Raw genomic sequence first — 19,721 nt, 5'->3', positions numbered from 1 at the left:
CTGTGCTATCTTTAGTGGTTGCCCTTTGTAATCTTTAGAGGACATTGCTGACGTGGCTGTTTCCTGGGTTGGACCTTTTTCCCTAGAGAGCCATGCCCTTTGGGGAGTGAGAAATTGCTATAAGGTGGGGCAGGCGGTGGGGAATTGCTGGGGGCTTCTTGAACTTGGCTGCTGTTCCCTACTTTCTCTCAAGTCAGAGAGTGAGACATTTAGACTCTTTGGGCAATCATAAGACTTTTGAAGAAAAGACATAAAGTATCATCTAGCCTGACCTCATGTCACAGAGGAGAATATGGAGGTCCAGAGAAGGGAAGGGTTTTTATCAGCATCACACACTGCTTAGAGGCTATGCTGGGCTTCAGCCTGGCTCCTGAGTCTAGTCCTCTCATTGGCATGCCCCACACAGGCTGCCTGGTAATAGCAGTGGTCGGGGAAGTCCTGTTAAGGCTTGGTCAGGTCAGTTGTTCCCTGGCTCAGAGCCCTGCATGCTCCATCTCCCCCAGAGAAAAGGCCAAGGGCCTAGCTGTGGCCTCAGGGCCTGTCTGCCCTGGCTCCCACCACCCCCACCCACCCCTCACATTGCTAACCTGTCCCCTCCTCCTCACTGTTACCACACTGGACTCCTGGTTGTTCCTGAGATTCCCACCTCGGGGCCTTTGCACTTGCTGATCCTTTGCCTGGAATATCTTCCCCCAGGTATCTGCATGGCTGACTCCACTCTTCCCCCAGAGACCTCTGCCCCAACCGTCGTAGATAAAATGCCCTCCTTCCTCACCATTCTCGATCCCTCTCCTCCTGTATTCCTTTTCTCTAGAGCCTTTATCACCGTCTGGCATGGCATATAGATATTTATTTAACTCTTTCTTTGTCTCCTCCCTGTGGAACGTAAACACCAAAACTTGTTCTGTTTTGTTCACTACTCTGTCCCCAGAACCTACAACATGCCTGGCACAGGCTGGGCGTGATGGCTCACACCTGTAATCCCATGTCATCCCAGCACTTTGGGAAGCCAAAGTGGGTGGATCGCTTGGGCTCAGGATTTCAAGACCAGCATGGGCAACATGGCGAAACTCTGTCTCTACCAAAAATACAAAAATTATCCAAGTGTGGTAGCACACGCCTGTGGTCCCAGCTGCTTGGGAGGCTGAGGTGGGAGGATTGTTGATGCCTGGAAAGTCAAGGCTGCAGTGAGCTGTGATTGCGCCACTGCACTCCAGCCTGGGTGACAGAGCGAAACTCTGTCAAGTAAATAAATAAATAATACATGCCTGACATATAGTAAGTGCCCAGTATCTATCTGTTGAAAGAAGGAAGGGAGCAAAGGTGGGAGGGAGGGGAGGAAGGAAAGATAAACACAAATGGAAATGAAAGGCCTCCAGGCCCTTGGTTTTAAGGATGGTTTGATTTGGTTAGTCTCCTCTATAGGAAAAGGACACAGTGGGCTGGGGTGGTGGAGACTCCATTGCTTTCCATTGGCCATGTGGATCCATCTCTTTGGCATGGTAGGCTGGCAACATTTCCTGAGCTCCATTCATCCTGCGTGGCCCTTGTACCTACCATGCCTAGACTCCCTTTTCTGGCAAGGAAAAGACAGGTACTAGAAGATGAGCTGAGGACCCAGGGAAAGACTGTGGGGGGTGGTACACACAAAATATATTAAAAAAATTTTTTTTTGAGACAAGCCCTCACTCTGTCACCCAGGCTGGAGTGCAGTGGTGCCATCACGGCTTACTGCAGACTCTACCTGCTGGGCTCAATTGATCCTCCCACCTCAGCCTCCTGCGTAGCTTGGGACTACAGGTGCATGCCACCATGCCTGCCTATTTTTTTTTAAATTTTTAGTAGAGACAGTGTCTTACTATGTTGTCCAGGCTAGTCTTGAACTCCTGGACTCAAGCAATCTGCCTGCCTTGGCCTCCCAAAGTGCTGGGATTAGAGGTATGAGCCACCGGCCCAGCCTACAATATATAAATTTTGGTTGTGTTCATAAAATTGGGAGGTTGGGAGGGGAAGCTGAAAGCTCCCAGGTTTAGGTCCTGCCCCTTTTTTGTGGGTAGCCTTGGACAGTTACTTCCCCTCTCTCAGCCTCAGCTTCCTCATGTATAAAATAAGAATTGGACTAGGCATCGACTCTCCTAGGGATCCATGCAGATGGGCTTCGGGGGTCTTTGCCTCTGACAGACAAGGGCCAGTGATCTAGGTTGTTCCCAAGGTCCCTTCTAGTACTGAAATCCATGTAGACCTCTGCATTTGAAATTCTGCCCTCTTTGGATTGAATATCAGCTTTTTGATGAAACCATGACTTTCTTGATATGCTGAAAATAAAGGTGACAGTTTAAAAAAGTAAATATTTAAAAAGTTTTCTCAGTGCCGGTTACTTTAGTAAATGTGGGTTTTTTTTTTTTCTTTTTTCTTCTTGGTCTCAACCTATAAGCAATCACAAGATCAAACAAGTTTCAGTTTGAGTTCCCTCTGCTTGACAGTCTGAGCCTGTATCGCCTCGACTTATCAAGTTTGCTTTCAGCTAGTCTGGCTGTTTTGGGGAGGCCTTATCAGCCAAGTGTTCAGCCCTCAGCGTAGGAAGATATGGTCTTGGGCTTTCTTTGGAAGCTGGTACCCCTCATCCGCTTATCTCCACCTCCCTTCAACCCCTCACCTGCCCCTCAACCTGGCCAATGAGCTGTTATAACACAGCAGTAATAGTCCCACTAGCTTTGGGAAGATCACCAAATTCTTCCCCCTTCCCAATCCCTTGCCTCTTACCCAGAACTAGTTACATAATTTACTGAGCTCAGTGCAAATGAAAATGTGAGGCCTCTTGATTAAAAATCATTAAGACTTTCAAGATGGTGACAAGAGCACCTTCAGCAAGCATGGGGTCCTGTGAGACCGCACGGGCTGCATGTTCCTAAAGCCAGTGCTGCCCTTGCCACTTCCATCTTAGGTTACCAGGACCAACCATGGAGATGTATATAACACAATTTGAGAGGCACTGAACATTCCCTCGGAAGGAATTTGAGTTATTTCTATCATGGCCTGTGAGATTCAGGGCTGCTATCCTGAGCCACTGTGCGTTTGGAAAATCCGTACAACTGGGTAGGGAGGGTTTGGACAGTGCCCATGAGTCCTGGTAGAAGGGGCAGAGAAGGATGATTTATAAATGTTCATACTGCCCAAGCAGCCCCACGGATGCTGACAGCATCATTTGTTCTGTCCTTTACAAAGTATTTTCATGGATAAATGAAATGTGTTATATCCATACAATGGAATGTTATTCATCCATAAAAGCAGTTGGAGTACTGATACATGCTACAACATGGATGAACCTTGAAGACATTATGCTGAGTGAAAGAAGCCAGTCACAAAAGGCCATATGGTGTACAATCCCATTTATAGGAAATGTCCGGAATGGGCAAATCTGTAGAGATAGAAAGCAGCTGTCAGGAGAAGAGAGGAAAAGAGAGTGACTGCGAATGGGTACGGGGTTTCTTTGGGATGATGAGAATGCCCTGAAATAAAGTAGTCATAGTAGTAGTTGTACCACCTTGTGACTATCCTAAAAATCAGTGAATTGTACACTTTAAAAAAGAGTGAAGTTTTTGGTATGCTAATTAAATTTTTATTTTTAGGCCTGGCACAGTGGCTCACGCCTGTAATTCCAGCACTTTGGGAGGCCGAGACAGGTGGATCACCTAAGGTCAGGAGTTTGAGATCAGCCTGACTGACGTGGTGAAACCCCGTCTCTACTAAAAATACAAAAATTAGCCGGTCATGGTGGCTCACACCTGTAATTCCAGCTACTTGGGAGGCTGAGGAAGGAGAATCGCTTGAACCCGGGAGGCAGATGTTGCAGTAAGCTCAGATCGCGCCACTGCACTCCAGCCTGGGTGACAAGAGCAAAACTCTGTCTCAAAAAAAAAATTGTTTTTATTTTTTAAAAGTTAGCTAGAGGAGGCCAGGTGCGGTGGCTCACGCCTGTAATCCCAGCACTTTGGGAGGCTGAGGTGGGCAAATCATAAGGTCAAGAGATTGAGACCATCCAGGCCAACATGGTGAAACCCCGTCTCTACTAAAAATACAAAAATTAGCTGGGCGTGGTGGTATGTGCCTGTAGTCCCAGCTACTCGGGAGGCTGAGAAAGGAGAATCGCTTGAACCCGAGAGGCAGACGTTGCAGTGAGCTGAGATCACGCCACTGTACTCCAGCCTGGCGACAGAGTGAGACTCTGTCTCAAAAAAAAAAAAAAAAAAAAAAAAAGAATTAGACGAAAAGTCATGAAGGTTTCAACATTTAACCCTCTCCCCTCTGCCCTTCTGGGTGTTGATTCAGCACAGGAGCAGCCTTCTGCCTTCCATGTGCATCTCCCTCTTACTCCTGTCTCTCCCCTACCCCAGCCACAGATCATCTCTCAGACATCCCTCACGCAAAGCCTGTTTTCCAGGAACGATCCTCTGGAAGCATTCATGCTAAGCGGATATGTGGCTGCTAAGACTTAGCCTCTCCAAGGCATTTGCATATTAGCTTATAAAAGGAGAAACCTTTTAGGTGAGAGGAATGAACGTTTAATTTTAGAATTCCAAGTAAGAGCAAGCATGTGTGAAAGGTTTTTATTTTGTTTGGGGTGGGAGTGCTCAGTGCCCTGGAACTGGGGGTGGCCAGGCCCCCTTCACACTGATTGGGCTGACCCCAACATCTGGGGAGCTTGGTGGTGAGTGGTAGGCCGAGAAACATCCCCTTCAGGACAAGCAGTTTCCCCCAGACCCAGCCACACCGCCTTCACATTTCCTAAAGGGGGGACATTGTGACTTGTGAGGCTGCCAGGAGGAGACAGCTTCTAATCGGGTTTCATTTCTTCTGTTTAATGTGCTTGGTTTTTGAATCAAGGGGGCCCCATTTGAGACAAGCCCCTTGCCTGGTTCTTATCTGCTCTGGCCCCTGTGAAGTTCACTTCTGCTTGCCCTTGTCCAGGGGTTCTCCAGGCTCCCACTTCCCTCTTTACACCTCCTGCACCTTCCCTCTCCTTCCCCATAGTGATCGTGATCACAGCCCCCCATAGTAATCACAGCCGCAGTCTTCAAGACCAGTTTAGTTCAGGCTTCTTCACCCATCTTTGAGAATCCTCTTTAGTCAGTCAGTGTGTAGCCTTCCTCCTTCATGTTCTTCGTGGTCCCTGGACCCTGAGACTTTTGTCTTAATCGCCTTTGGAACTTTAGTGCCTGGCATGGTGCTTGGACATAGTAGACACTTAATAAATGCTTTTGGACTGCACAAAACCAAGGCTGTGTTTGGCCCTGTGAGGGCATGAGGAGCAGCGAAATCAGCAAGAGAGGTGACGAGACAGCTGTCAGCCTCAGGCATTTCTTGCTAAGAGAGGAGGAACTAGCATTTGTGTGGATAAAGAAGAGGCTCCTCTGAGCTTCATGTGCATGGGATGATGAGCAAAGGGTGGCTCCGGAGCTGCTCCACAGAGCGGTGGCTTTCATGGAGTATCCAATTCTGCAGGATCTCTTGGATTTCGGGCTTGCATCTTCAGCCAGAAGGCATCTTCATGAACAGGTGTTTATGAAGTGCCTACCATATGCCAGGCACCCATCTAGAGCCTGTGACTTTGTTGGCGCCCCATTGTGTGATGGACTTGGAAGAACACAGAAGGCCCTGCCTGGGCTGGGACAGTCGCTTTACCCTGAGCTTCCTGGGTTTCTTCCAGCTTCCAGGGGTGTTAATTTCCCGTATAATTACTTTTGGGCAAAACACATTGGTGCTTATGTCTTTTTTTTTTTTTTTTTTTTTGACAGAATCTTGCTCTGTTGCCCAGGCTGGAGTGGTGCAACCTTGGCTCACTACAACCTCCATCTCCCAGGTTCAAGCAATTCTCATGCTTCAGCCTCCTGAATAGCTGGGACCACAGGTGCACGCCACCACACCCGGCTAATTTTTTGTATTTTTTTAGTAGAGACAGGGTTTTACCATGTTGCCCAGAGTGGCCTCGAACTCCTTAGCTCAGGCAATCCACCCATGTCAGCCTCCCAAAGTGCTGGGATTGCAGGTGTGAGCCACCACACCTGGCCAGGTGCTTATGTCTTAAACACTGCCGTTCACATTTCTACCTCTGAGGAGATGGTAGGGGGTGAGGGTAGGACCGGGCTGTCCTCTCAGCCCCATCTATCTGGTAGGTGGATGTAGGTCTTGCTCTGTCAGTCAGAGCTCTGGCAGGAAATGACTGGTACACACAGAGGGTTTAACTGGAGAGGACTATTTACAGATGTGTGGGCATGGTGAGGGAAACCATCTAAGGCTGGTGAGGCTCCCCAGAGCTGACAACAGTGGGAAGCTATTACCTCCCCTCGGCCAGAAGGAAGGAGCCCCAGGGATGGGTAGAAAGGGCCTCGACAACAGCTGTGATGGTGACGAGACACAACCACTGTCAAACTGTGGTGAAGAGGAGGAAGGGGGAATAAATGCTCTCACTTTAACTAAATCCAGCTGGAAGCCCAGAGAGCCCAGCTGATATAGCCAGTGGTCCAGGAAGGGCAGAGAACAGAGTGTGTAGGGGCAAGCTGCACACACCCGCCCCCGGCTGCCTGGGCATTCTAAGGCTTAGCAGGCTCTTCCCCTTCTTCTTCTTCTTCTTCTTCTTCTTCTTTTTTTTTTTTTTTAAAAAAAAGACAGAGTCTCACTTTGTTGCCAGGCTGGAGGGCTATGGTGCCATCTCGGCTCACTGCAACCTCCGACTCCCTGGTTCAAGCAATTCTCCTGCCTCAGCCTCCTGAGTAGCTGGGATTACAAGCACGTGCCACCACGCCCAGCTAATTTTTGTATTTTTAGTAGAGACAGGGTTTCACCATGTCGGCCAGGATGGTCTCAATCTCCTGACCTCACGGTCTGCCCACCTTGGCCTCCCAAAGTGCTGGGATTACAGACGTGAGCCACCACGCCCGGCCTTTTTTCTTTTCTTTCTTCTTCTTTTTTTTTTTTGCTCTTGTTGCCCAGGCTGGAATGCAATGGTGCAATCTTGGCTCACCGCAACCTCTGCCTCCCAGGTTCAAGCGATTCTCCTGACTCAGCCCCCTGAGTAGCTGGGATTACAGGCATGTGCCACCACGCCTGGCTAATTTTTTTTGTTTTTTTAGACGGAGTCTCACTCTGTTGCCCAGGCTGGAGTGCAGTGGCGCCATCTCGGCTCACTGCAAGCTCCGCCTCTGGGGTTCATGACATTCTCCTGCCTTAGCCTCCCGAGTAGCTGGGACTACAGGTGCCCGCCACCACACCCAGCTAATTTTTTGTATTTTTAATAGAGACGGGGTTTCACTGTGTTTGCCAGGATGGTCTCGATCTCCTGACCCCATGATCCACCCGCCTTGGCCTCCCAAAGTGCTGGGATTGCAGGTGTGAGCCACCGTGCCCAGCCTAATTTTGTATTTTTAGTAGAGACAGGATTTCTCCATGTTGGTCAGGCTGGTCTTGAACTCCCCACCTCAGGTGATCCACCCACCTGGGCCTCCCAAAGTGCTAGGATTACAGGCGTGAGCCACCGCACCCAGCCTCTTCCCCTTCTTAGGTGACTCAGGATGTGCCCAGTCCACCAGTGCTCCCTTCTTCACAACACTGTGGCTGTTAGAAAGAAGAAAGTGCCCCGGCCACACCAGCAGGATGGCCACTGGTATTTTGACTGTAGCAAGAATAACAAATTATATTTATTGACAGCATTTTATGTGCATCCTCTCATTAAATCTTTACAACAACCATAGCATGGGTACCCTGATTATCCTTGTCTTCATCCTGTTACTGAGGAAAAATGTGGAGCTGAGAGAGGTTAGCAAGCTACCCAGTTGCTCAGCTAGCCAGAGGTAGAGTTGAGCTCAGACCAATTCTGACGTGACTCCCGAACACACACTCTTACCCTTTGCCTGACTCAGGGTCTCATTCCTCCGTAGTGGGGCCCCACCCACCCTGTGGTCAGTGCCACGTGTGTGCTGGCCCACTGCTTGGGATGGTCTTCCTACTTCCTCTCCAGTTGACCCCATTGAACCCATTTTTTGAGACCCAACTCAGATCTCACTTCCTCTGAGACCTTCTCATCCCTCTCCATCTCTCTATTAGGCATCAGTGGCAGGCGATTCTCTGCCATCCCTTGGGATGTTGTCTGGCTGTTTTGAGTGTGCGCATCTCCAAAGTCTCCAATGAGAATCCAGCTTTCTTAGGTGCGAATCCTAGGTCGTGAGTTTTCTTTCACTCAAAAGGTTTAGTTGAAGAGACTTTAAGTTAGTTAGGGGGAAGGGAACTGACTGGGAGGATACAGCACCCAGAGACTGGACTCTAAGTGGTCACAGGGGAATGGTCCTGTGGGGGGAAGCCATTGCCACTCTGAGGCCTGAAGGAACTCCATTGGAAAGAACTGTCCCTGTAGCCCAGTGAGAGCCGTAGCTGTTGGACAGAAGCCTCATGTAGGAGCTGATGGGTTTGAGAACTGGCTTTCTACTTGGTTAGTAAGAGCTCAACAAAAGCCAACAGGGAGGACTTTCTTTAAGGCAAATGAAGAACAGAAGCTAGAGCTGACTCTAGTAGGAGCTTACAGTCTAGTTGAGGGGTTTTTGTTTTTGTTTTTGTTTTTTGAGACTGAATTTTGCTCTGTCACCCAGGCTGGAGTGCAGTGGCTTGATCTCGGCTCACTGCAACCTCTGGCTTCTGGGTTCAAGTGATTCTCATGCCTCAGCCTCCTGAGTAGCTGGGATTACAGGCACCTGCCACCATGCCCGGCTAATTTTTGTATTTTTAGTAGAGACGGGGTTTCACCATGTTGGCCAGGCTGATCTCGAACTCCTGACCTCAAGTGATCCACCCTCCTTGGCCTCCCAAAATGCTGAGATTACAGGGATGAGCCACTGCGCCCAGCCTTAGTTGAGATTTTGAGGGAGGGAAAACAGGCACATACCTCCTACTTAAACAGAACAGTGCTGCTACAGGGCAAGATTTCCCCCTGAGCAGATGAGCTTGCCATATACAAGCACAATGTGGGGGGACATTTAAGGAGACAGAATTGCCAATGGCTTCTTTCTTATAGGACAGGGGCTGAATGCTAGTCCAGCTCTGTAGGGTTCCCCAGAAGGCCTCACACAGGTCACAGATGCATCTGGTTGAGCATGCCAATCTGTGTTTTGGCACTCTTGAAGTCTCAAAGTTCTTTAAAAAGCTACCTCGAGAGCCCCAGAAGTTTGGATACATTGCAAATGTCCTTTGCCTTTGGAGCTGATGCCAAGGAGGGGGTTGAGCATCAGGTCTCTTGGCCTCGGGAACCGCTACATTGGGAGGACCTCAGTCTGCCTCCTGTGTGGGGCTGCTTAATCTCATTTCTTTTTTCTCTATTCCTATTTTGCCACCCACTCCTGTTGGCCTAGATCCTCCTAGACACTGGAAGGGTAGATCAAGTGAGGAAGCATTTGGAAGGAGACACAGCAGATGAAAGGTTGAGAGTTCTTTGTTTAGGCCCTTCTTTGCTGGCCCTTGTGAATTTTGGTAAGTTTCCTTAGAGTTTTCTCTCTGCTAGGCCTTGGACGTGCTCAGAGACACTCCAGTTATCCTGAATGCCTTTTACTTCCCTGAACACATCACCTACCCTCTGACCTCCAGGCCTTTGAACTCTCAGTTCTGTTCTTGCTGCCTAGAGCACTCCGCCACCCCTCTTCACTGCCTTGTAAAACATTAGGGAGCCGTGGGGACTGTGGAGAATCCCACCGTTTGCACTCCATCTAAAGAGTTTCTGGGCTCCTGATTTACAGGTTGTGGGCCTGAGGGTTACTTGGATTGTATGTGGCTGCTCCCCTTTGCAGAGACTCAGAAAGCCTTGGGGAGCATAGCCTGGGAAAAACATAGAGGAAAACAGCGAAAACCAGGGCTCAGAGGAGACACTCAGGAGAGGATAGTGGATCCTCCTCAGGGGCCAGGGAGAGCTGATAGGGGGTGACCTCAGAAGGCCAGAGAGGCTCTGGAAGGGGCTTTATACCTATGTGAGGACATTTCTTCTGCATCTGTTCTTGGGGGCTGGCAGGGCCAAGGGTTGACTTGGGGTCAATGCCAGTGGTAGACTCAGGACCCAGGCCACGCACAGAAGCCAGGAGGGCCTGGCTGGGGAAGACCCTTCATTTTACAGAAAAGAGATAATTCTCTATGCCAGTCTGTGACCTGCTCTGGTACCTTTGCTTTTTAAACTATGTAGGTTTCGGACATCAGATAATGCCTTGGTTCATGGTTTTTGTTTAAAGAGATGGGATCTTGCTATGTTGCCCAGGCACTCAAGTGATTCCCTTGCCTTAGCCTCCCAAGTAGCTGAGACTATAGGCATGTGTCACCATGCCCAGCTCTGGTTCAGGTTTTAAACTATTATTTTTTCTTTGTTATGTAAACAAAACATAACAAAGATAACAAAGAGGAAAGGGAAGTGAAAATAATGTCACCCATAATCCCACCACTCAGATATCGTTTACATTTAGAACCTGGACATGCATACTTCCCAGACAATTTTTTGTGTTTTTATAAATACAGAAGCAAATCAGAGATGCATTTTGTAACCTGCTGTGTGTATGTGTGTATGTGTGATTTGTGTCCATTGAAAAGAATATATGCTTTCCCAAATTCGAATGGTAGGGTATAAAGAGACCCCCCCTTCCCCTGCATCCATCCTTTACCCCCTAATTCTGCTCCTCAGAGGCAGCCTCTTTGAATAGTTGCTGGTATATCGTTGGTAGGGGAGACATTTAGAAGGGATAATGTGTGTGGAATAGCAAAACTGTTAGTATGGCTTGTACAGATGTTTTCATGTGGAGGTCAGGAGGAAGGTGAAGGGTAGGTTTAGAGGGACTGGGAAGTAGTTTGTGGTTACAGAAGAGACTTTCAGAAACTGGAGTTAGAGAAGGAGGAGACGGAGAAGTTTTTAGGCCTGGGTTTTGATTGGATTTGTCATAAGGAGCAGGGTGAGTGAAGGTGAATGCAACAGTGGGCGGGGCCAGATATTGTGAAATTTTACCTCCTGGGTGGAGACTGGGCCAGAGAGGGCAGCAGGTATGCAAATAGACAAGAGACACATCAGGAAGTGGTAATAGTATGATAACTGGTAGATATTTGTAAAATACCTTTGCTTGACAAAACAAAAGTTGGCAGCCCTAGTTAGTCCCCTCTTTTGTTTGTTTGTTTAAAAAAAAAGTTTTAGCAAATCTGTGAATACCAAAAACCTGAGCAAACGTGTAGAACCGGACTGGGTGGGGGTGCAGATTTTAGATTCAGTTCTGGTTTTGGGTCTGACTGACTATGCAGTTTTGGACTCCTCAGTTTGTTTGTTTGTTTGTTCATATTTTTTGAGTTGGAGTCTCGCTCTGTTGCCCAGGTTGGAGTGCAGTGGCTTGATCTTGGCTCATTGCAACCTCTGCCTCCCAGGTTCAAGCGATTCTCATGCCTCAGCTTCCTGAGTAGCTGGGTGGCACCTGCCACCATGCTGGCTAACTTTTGTATTTTTAGTAGAGACGGGGTTTCACCATGTTGGCCAGGCTGGTCTGGAGCTCTTGACCTCAAGTGATCCACCCGCCTTGGCCTCCCAAAGTGCTAGGATCATAGATGTGAGCCACCGTGCCTGGCCTCCTCAGTTTTTTTTAGATCCCAGCCTTCTTATCTGCAGATAAGCAGTTCTCAACCCTGTAGGCACATTAAAATCACTGGGAAACTTATAAAAGGAAACAGTTGATGTCAGAGCCCCACTCCAGACTGAATGTGTCAGAATCTTGGGGAGCCTGGGAATTTTTTTCAGAAATGCAGCTAACATTGGGAACCCCTGGATTCGGGTCATCTTAATTGCTCATTTTAGCCCTAAAATGTTACTATTCTCTGTATTGTATCATATAATTTCATTCCTTTCAGATACTGTGCACAAATGTCATAAACTTCTTACATACCAAGAAGTCATTTTTTAACTAAAAAACTCCCCATAATTCTCATTAGGCCTGTGATATAATGCCTATGTCCTGCAATCAATAAATTAGAATCATAAATGTAGTAAAACATCAAATAATTACTTTTTTGACCCAGAAGTCCAAAGCGTGGACTTTAATCTTTAATTTCTCATTCCCTCATTTTGAAAAAACTACTGCCTGGAGTCCTGGGGCCATCTCTATTTGTAAAGAAGACGCTGAAACATTGAGACATTACTGGAAGTGTCTTTGCTAGAAGAATTGTGTATACCGTAAGTTCCAAATTAGGAGGTCCAGTTTGGGGAAGCTTTATCGGATCTAAATTCTACATGGAGTGGGAGGTGTTTAGAGTCTTGGTGCTTGCTGTTTTATCTTTACCATTGAAGTTCTTGGTTTTGTCTCTTCCTAAATGAGTCATTTTTTTAAAAAGGAACCTAACTTGGGGGGGCGAGGAAACCACTGCGGGAGGTGCTGTGTGGGGGCGCCGAGGAGCCAACCATCAGGAGACTGAGTTTACAGCTGGGCCCTCCACTCAGGAGGGGTAGAGGGACCTGTCCTTGCTGAGGGTGACTCAGAGACAAGTGGGACATAACCTGGTTGGGGAGGTACAATAGGAAGGTATTGATGTTGTGTATTAATCTACCGAGTATTTACTGGAGCACAGCCACCAAGTATACTGCCTGGATGCAGGGCCCATTCCACGGGCACTTGGGAGATTGTGAACAATCTCCCAAGTTTGTCCTCTACTTGAGATGAGACACAGATTGTGTCCACATTTGCCTGCACTTTCAGATAAGTGAACTGAAGTTATCGAGCCCCATACTGGTGTGAGCAATGCAAGTAAAAATGTTAGGGCCAGGCAGGGTGTCAAAGTGGAAGGAGATGGCAGCTGAGGACCCCATTGTGGAATGCTAAAGGGCCCGATGATACAGACGCTGGCCGGGCAGCCAGATGGAGATCAGATCGGGGATGGGAGCTCTGCGGGACCTCTGTGTGTCACTTCCCCTTTCTGTGCTAAGATCTCCCAGCTGAAAAATGGTCCCCTGCTATACACCTCAGTCACCAGGCCCCTGCCAGCTGTTGGGAGTACCTGATGTCCTAGATGCCTGAGTGGGTAGGGGTGGGAGAGAGAGCAGGAGGGGGTGAGCAGAGCCTGGCTTTGGAAACCAGAGCAGCTCCACACATTTTGGCCCAAATCCCTCCCATGCTTGGGGTGAGGAGAAGCCCAGGGTAAGGGTGCCTCCCTACAGCCAGGAAGATCTTGGTGCGGTGGGAGTGTTGGCTCTGCACGCCTCTCCTCCACACAGAGCCCCCAGCAGGGCCGGATTTCATCTTTTCTCAGTGGCGTGCAGCCTCTTGCCATTGTGCATGCGTGTTTTCTAAGTTTGTCACAAACTTCCTGTTTAGGTACAATCAGAGGCTCGGAGCTTTGTGTGTTTTGAAACCCGGGCATTCACCGAGGTCCGGTGCTTCTCTCTTACCAGCAGTGGGGTGGCCTGTTTGTTTCTTTGCGGACTTCTGCCATCCTTCTTTGCAAACCTTCTTGCTGGGAAATGCTCTGTGGCCTCTGTGCTTGTTTCTGTTAGTAAGAGTGGAGAGAGCTGTGAGGTCTGAAGGCTGGAAAGGGGGAGGGGAGCAACACTGAGTGTGCCCCTTATGTAAGGCCAGGCCTGTGCTAGATATTATACTTCTATACACTTAATTTTATTTAGGCCTCACAGTCACTCATGCAGAGCCAGCCTCCAAGAGGTGAAGGCTGACCTGGCTGACGAGGTCAGGATTTGATCGCAGGCCTGACTCCAGTGCTCCTGTGACTTCAGCTAAGTCCTGAGGAGTACAATGCCCCTTTGGTTGCCCCTGGTTTGGGCAGATCCTGATTTCTTATGGGGCATCTTGGTGACAGCATCCCCTTGAAACCTGTGGTTTTCTCTCAGCCCCATGTTACCCAGATCTGCCTGTCTGCCTGGGGTGATCAGATGGCCCTTGAGTGTTTTGCTGATTTTCACCTTTCCCAGGCATCTCCCTCTTGTGGCTCTGGGAATCCCAGAATTGTTAGATGGTGGTCCATAGCTGGTGATCGAAGTGGATCAGTCCAGCTCCTCATTTCCCAAAATAGAATATTCTTTTTCCTGCTTCTGGTTGCCCAGTCCTGACTGTTCTGCCAGTCACCATGAGCTTCTCCACACAGCTGGATTTCTCACATTTCAAGCTCTCCCTTGAAGAAGGAAGAAGAGAGTATATCTATCTATGTCTACAAAAGCATGTGAAAGGGTGGTAAAGGAAGGACACCAAGACCTTGAATATGCAGGTGCAGGAAGAGGAGGGAGGAGCCAAACCCAGCCATCCTCCTCCCCGTTAGAGTGGATGTTAGGAGGTGCCGGACTCTGGTGCCTCCTGCACAGGAAGAATAGGTATGCCTCCCAGCTTCAAGAAGGCCCTGTGTCTCTTCACTTGGCCATCTTGGTTCTCCTACATTTTCTGAAAAACTTCTGGAATCATATCACCTGAGCATCAGAATTGTTCTGTGGATCAAATAACTGAGACACTGTGTTGAGCAGCGGGCAGTTGCAAGCATTGTCAATACACGATTCATTGCCCTCAAGAAGCTGGCAGTCCACATGGGCACAGGGAGCTCTTGCCCAGAGAAGCTAGATGCAGTGAGCTCAGAAGAGCCAGGAGAGCTTGGTAAGCTGGGTTGGTGCCACCCAGCAGACTGCAGGAGAGGGCTGGAGCTGGGTGGCCAGAGGGCAGAGCTGCAGGGGAGGAATGTGCTGGGTGTTAGGACCTTGACGGGGTGCATGGACTGGGCAGGGGATTACAGATGGGGTGAGCAGAGGTACGCATGGGAAACAAGATTGAAGAAGGAGATGTGCACCATTTATGAAGGATCCCAAGGGATGGCTGTGGAGCTTGGAATGTTCCTGTATTGAGGAGCCTCCAAAGCCAAAGCATGGAGCCGGGATTAGTAAATGCAATGCTGTAAGAAGATCCGTCTCGATTTGTGAACTGTAAATGGGCAGTGCTGGGAGGTAACTTAGGAGACATTTATCATGTCAAGAGTTAGGAATGAAATGTTGAGGACTTGGACTAGGGTGGTGGTAGTGTATGTAGAAAAGACGAGAGGGAAGTGGAAGGTTTCAAATCTTAGCTCTGCCACTTGCTACCTGTGTGCCCTTGAGCAAATTACTTCATCTCTTTCAACCTGTTTTGTCATCTATAGATAGAGGCTAAAAACACTTCACAGGACTCTTGTTTGAGGATTTTAACTTGTAACACACCCAGCACTTAGTAGGTGCTCAAGGAATAATGAATCTTCTCATGCGGGAAGAGGCATGGTTTTGTGACTGGGAGGGATTAGGGGAGTGGAGTATGAGGTTCTGAGTCTGGGAGCCCGGGAGAATGATGAAGCCTTCACAGAAAGAGATGGAACTGCTTGGGGCCTTTGAATTCAGCTTTAGGAACTTCTCCTCCTAAACCCTGGCTACTGAGGGCTGTCACAGAAAACCCCACATCCATGCAGATTGTGCCTCTACGAAACCACGGCCTCTGGCTAGAGCAGGGCCCTCTGGGATACTGGCCAGCAGCTGGCTGTCTCCAGTCAGGGTGTGGACTAGGGTGAGAGAGTAAGCCACCTAGGGCAGAAACGTCAGGAGGTGCTGGGTTTCAGGGCCACGCCCGCACTTGATACCCACAGTGGGACGTGCACCCCAGCCTCCTCTCCTGTCTGCCCTTCACCACTCAGGAGACAACCTGGCTTCTGTGTTCACTGAAAATATTACTCCACGGCGAGCCCACTCAGGTTCCCACCTGCCCTCCTGTGTGCTGACCTGCATCTGGGCTCGTTCCCACCTGGTTTCCTTGCACTCAGAGAAAGAGACATCCTTCCTCCTGGCCAGAGAGAACCCTCTCCCTGGACAGGGATCCCCATGCTTCCTGCGGCCCCTGGGACCTCACGCCTCAGTCCTGCAGCAGCAACTTCCTCAGCCCTTCACACCCCTCAGCCTTACCTTCTCTTTTCTCCTCCCCTTACAGATGGATGTGTGGAAATAATCTGCCTTCGCTAACATAGCCCACGCAGGCTGGCCTCCACTGGTGGGGGCTTATGCCTGGTCCAGAGCAGGGACCCGGTGGGTTTGCTGCAGAGGCCTCCTGCCTTCTGCAGGGGCTGCCCTCTCTAAGGTCACCCACGGCTTCCATGTTGCCACACACAACGGACACTTCAGTCCTTATCTGTCTGGGCTCTTTGCTGCTTTTGACACTGGACAGCTTCCTCCTTCTTGCAACTCTCTTTTCTCTTGGCTTCTTTGATTCCATCATACAAAGTCTTTCAACAGCTATTTCTTGAGCACCTACTATGTGCCAGGCTCTGGGCACACCATAATACGATGTCCCTGCTCTCAGGGAATTTACAGTCTAAGGGAAGTGGGGAAAGGGGGATGAAAAAAATAATAAATGTCAGGTGGTAATAAGGGTTGCAAAGAGAAATACAACAGGGAAGGAGGCTAGGAAGGGGGCCGGGGTTTGAGGTGGGCCTCACTGCAAAGGACGTGAGAGCAGAAACCTGTAGGAAGTGACAGATGCCTGGGGGAAGAGTGCTCCAGGGATGGGGAAGAGCAAGTATGGAGGGCTGAGGCAGGAGCCTGCCTGGATGTTTGAGGAAGCCATTGTGGCTGGAGGAAATGGAGGAAGGGCAGAGTAGGAGGAGAAGAGGTCAGGTGTCTCAGTCCATCAGGGAGGAGGCCCAGCCAAGTCATGTGGACTGTGGCCATTTCAAGGACTTTGGCTTTTACTTTGATACAGATGAAATACTACAGGAGTGTTCTGAGCAGAAGAGTGATTTTTAAATGATCACTTAGGCTGCTCTGGGGAGCATGCTGTATTTGTTAGCTTGGGCTGCTATAACCAAGTACCACACACTGGGTGGCTTAAACCACAGATTTATTGTCTCACAGCTCTGGAGGCTGCAAGTCCAAGATCAAGGTGTTGGCAGGGCCATGCTCCTCTGGAGACTCCAGGGAAGGGTCTGTTTCGGGCTCCTTTCCAACTCTGGGTAGCTTCTTGGCTTGTGGCAGAAAACCTCCAATCTTCCAAATATCCCCTTTTTATAAGGACACCAGAGTCATTTTGGATTAGGAACCCCCATCCTACTTCAGTAGGACCTCGTCTTAACTATTTATATCATCAATGACCCTGTTTCCTAATATGACATCTTCAATGACCCTGTCTCCTAATATGCCACATTCTGAGATCCTAGGGGTCAGGATGTCAACATAGGAATCTTGGGGAGACACAGTTCAACCCCCAAGACATGGTTATAGAAAGGTGAGGGGAGGAGTGGGACAACTAATTAGGGGGTTATCACAATAACCTAATGAGAGATGCTGCTTGCTTGGACTAAAGTGGTACCAGTGGAGGTGTCGAGAAACGGTGAGGGTCTGGATATTACTTTACGTTGAAGCTGGCGTCCTTTGCTGATGGATTAGACGTGGGGTGTGAGGGAAAGAGGAAAGCCATGATGACTTGGGTTTAGAGCCTGAATAACCAGAATGAAGTTGAACGTCTTGGTCTCCTAAGTCCTCTTCTCCCCCGGGACCTTCCTCAGCAGCCTTTGCTGGGTCCTCGTCCTGGGTGGGCCCATCAGCTGCTGGGTTCTTCAGGGCTCCATCCCAGGTCACTCCTCCGACCTCTCCCTGATTGATACTCACTGTTCCCATGCTGAAGCCAGATGTCCTGACTGTGCTCTTTGGGTCACTCCTGCAGGCCCTGGCTGTGGAGAATGCTGAAGGAAGAAGACGCAGAAGCAGGACGACCCTGAAAGATTCAGCCTCTTCATCCTCAAACAGGTCGCTTCTCGGGAGTTCTTGGTGTTGGAATATTTTACAGCAAAGCAGTCGTAAGACCATTTCTTGGACCCATATGGTGTGGAGAATGCCCCAGGAAGTGGAGGAGGGCTGCTCTGGGCCTGGACATCCATTAATTTCTAGAAAATTTTCTCTGGGAAATGGTCAGGGATTGTGGATTCACATAATGGTTTTTGGCAGCTTCTGGAATGGGGCGGAGGGTGTCTCTTGATTTTGCAGAGTTGTAAATAGTTGAGGATCCAATGGATGTCCATGGATGGTAGTTCTAGAAGTGTTTAGAAGGATTTAAAAATGTCTGGGATGCAGTGGAGGTGTAGAAGGCCACTGTGGGAAGCTCCACAGAGCCTGCCAGAGGCGGATTGCTGGACTCAGGAGCCTTAGCTGGCCCTGGGGCATTCCTCGCGTTTTTATCAGGTCTGGCCTCATGATCCCTTCCATTCTCAGTTTGTCCCTCCATAAAATGGGCATACAGCTATGATTCCTCTGCCGGGCCTCCCACAAGCTGTTTCAAGGGTCAGTAGTTTGTGCATAAATAGAATTTTAAGCTTTTATTTCAGGTGTAAACCCTGATCCGGCAAGAGATGGCTCCATCCTCCACACATTCTTGGCGACAGTGGGGAAGGGGGGTGGTATCTGATTTGATTATTTCGGTGTGTGTGGTTTTGTTTTCTTGGCATGTGCCACGCTTTCCATTCCTCCTGTATGAGGCTCAGAATTGATTGCTTCGGTTTCTTTTTTATTGTGCCTGATTCTGATTTAATTTTAAAGCCATTGTGTCTCGGGGTTCCAGTCGGAAACACGTGGCTCGTGCAAATGGGGTAATTGAAGAGCGTCTACTGAAGGGAGTCTTTATAAGGATGCAGGCAGAGTTAAGAGAAGCCAAGAAGGGATGCTGAAGCACCCAGGGCCAGCAGTGTCAGGGAGCTGTTACTGTGCCTGGAAGGAAGAGGGAGGGACTGGCTGTCGGGATGGGAAACAGGAGCTGGAGAGGTGTCCCTGGTAGAGGAATGCAATCAACCTACAGCAGCATGGCCAGGAAGGAGCCAAAAGAATAAATATCCTTATTGAACCCCTTGGATCTCCCATCTCCTGATGCCAGTGCCTCCCATTAGGCAGCCTCAGTCAGAGCCAGAAGGCAAGGGAACTGGGTGGATGCTGTCCACGGAGGGCAGAGCCTCTGTGGGGCAGAGCTGCCTGAAGGAGGATGGAGGGTGGATCTGCGGAGCGAATGGGAACAGTCTCACAGAGTCAAGAGTTGCAGGTCACTTGGATTATAAGGACGTTTCTACTTTAGACCAAAAGAGGCTTTTGTGTATGTTTGAGTGAAACTTTGCATTGTGAGGTCAGCTACGTAGATGTGCCGGCTGTGAGGGATGGTAGGAGCAACGGAGATCCCAGTCCTTTTCAGACTTGAAAAGACCCAGGGAAGTCAAGGGATTTGCCCAAGGCCACTCATTAATTCATGAAAGTGTTTCTCGAAAGCCCCTTACATTTTCTCGGGAAAAACAACACAAAACATTTGAAACAGTTTAAAAACAAACAAACAAAAAAACCCAAAAAACAACATAAAACAAAATCTGAGTAAGTGCCAGGAAGAGACTGTGGATTCACACACATCGTAGTCTGTTTGGGCTATTATAACAGAATGCCATAGATGTGGAGGCTTATAACCACCAACAAATCATATTTCTCACAGTTCTGGAGGCTGGAAGTCTGAGATGAGGGTGCCAGTATGGTCAGGTTCTGGTGAGGGTTGCTTTCACGTTGCAGACTGACAACTTCTTGTGTCCTTACGTCATGGAAGGGACCAGAGCTCTCTCAGACCTCCTGAATAAGGGCACTAACCCTGTTCATGAGGGCTTCACCCTCAAGACCTGATCACCTCCCAAAGGCTTCATCCCTAACA

At 49.0% G+C, this 19,721-nt stretch overlaps 1 protein-coding gene across 52 annotated transcripts in view, besides 1 other annotated feature; it reads left to right on the top strand.

Annotated features, from left to right (window-relative positions):
- TRERF1 (transcriptional regulating factor 1) overlaps positions 1–19,721 on the top strand; it is a 227,294-nt gene that overhangs the window by 71,431 nt on the left and 136,142 nt on the right. For 27 of the 52 annotated variants that reach the window (XM_047419067.1, XM_047419061.1, XM_047419048.1 and 24 more), the window contains one exon: positions 17,715–17,797. The gene's annotated coding sequence lies outside the window, so the exon portion shown is untranslated. Of the gene's footprint in view, positions 1–17,714; positions 17,848–19,721 lie in introns of all 52 variants that reach the window. The other 25 variants (XM_047419066.1, XM_047419062.1, XM_047419053.1 and 22 more) reach the window with 1 other exon arrangement.
- Positions 12,729–12,818: an enhancer, noted in NCBI's record as "active region_24550". NCBI's record gives its function as "activates an Ori minimal core promoter by ATAC-STARR-seq in GM12878 lymphoblastoid cells {active_cell/tissue: GM12878}" and the evidence as "EXISTENCE:reporter gene assay evidence [ECO:0000049][PMID:35858748]".

Source organism: Homo sapiens, chromosome 6 (genome assembly GCF_000001405.40).
Source record: "Homo sapiens chromosome 6, GRCh38.p14 Primary Assembly".
In the NCBI taxonomy this organism is placed as follows: domain Eukaryota; kingdom Metazoa; phylum Chordata; class Mammalia; order Primates; family Hominidae; genus Homo; species Homo sapiens.
Note: the sequence above shows the minus strand (reverse complement) of the source record. Positions and strands in the feature narration are given on the sequence as shown.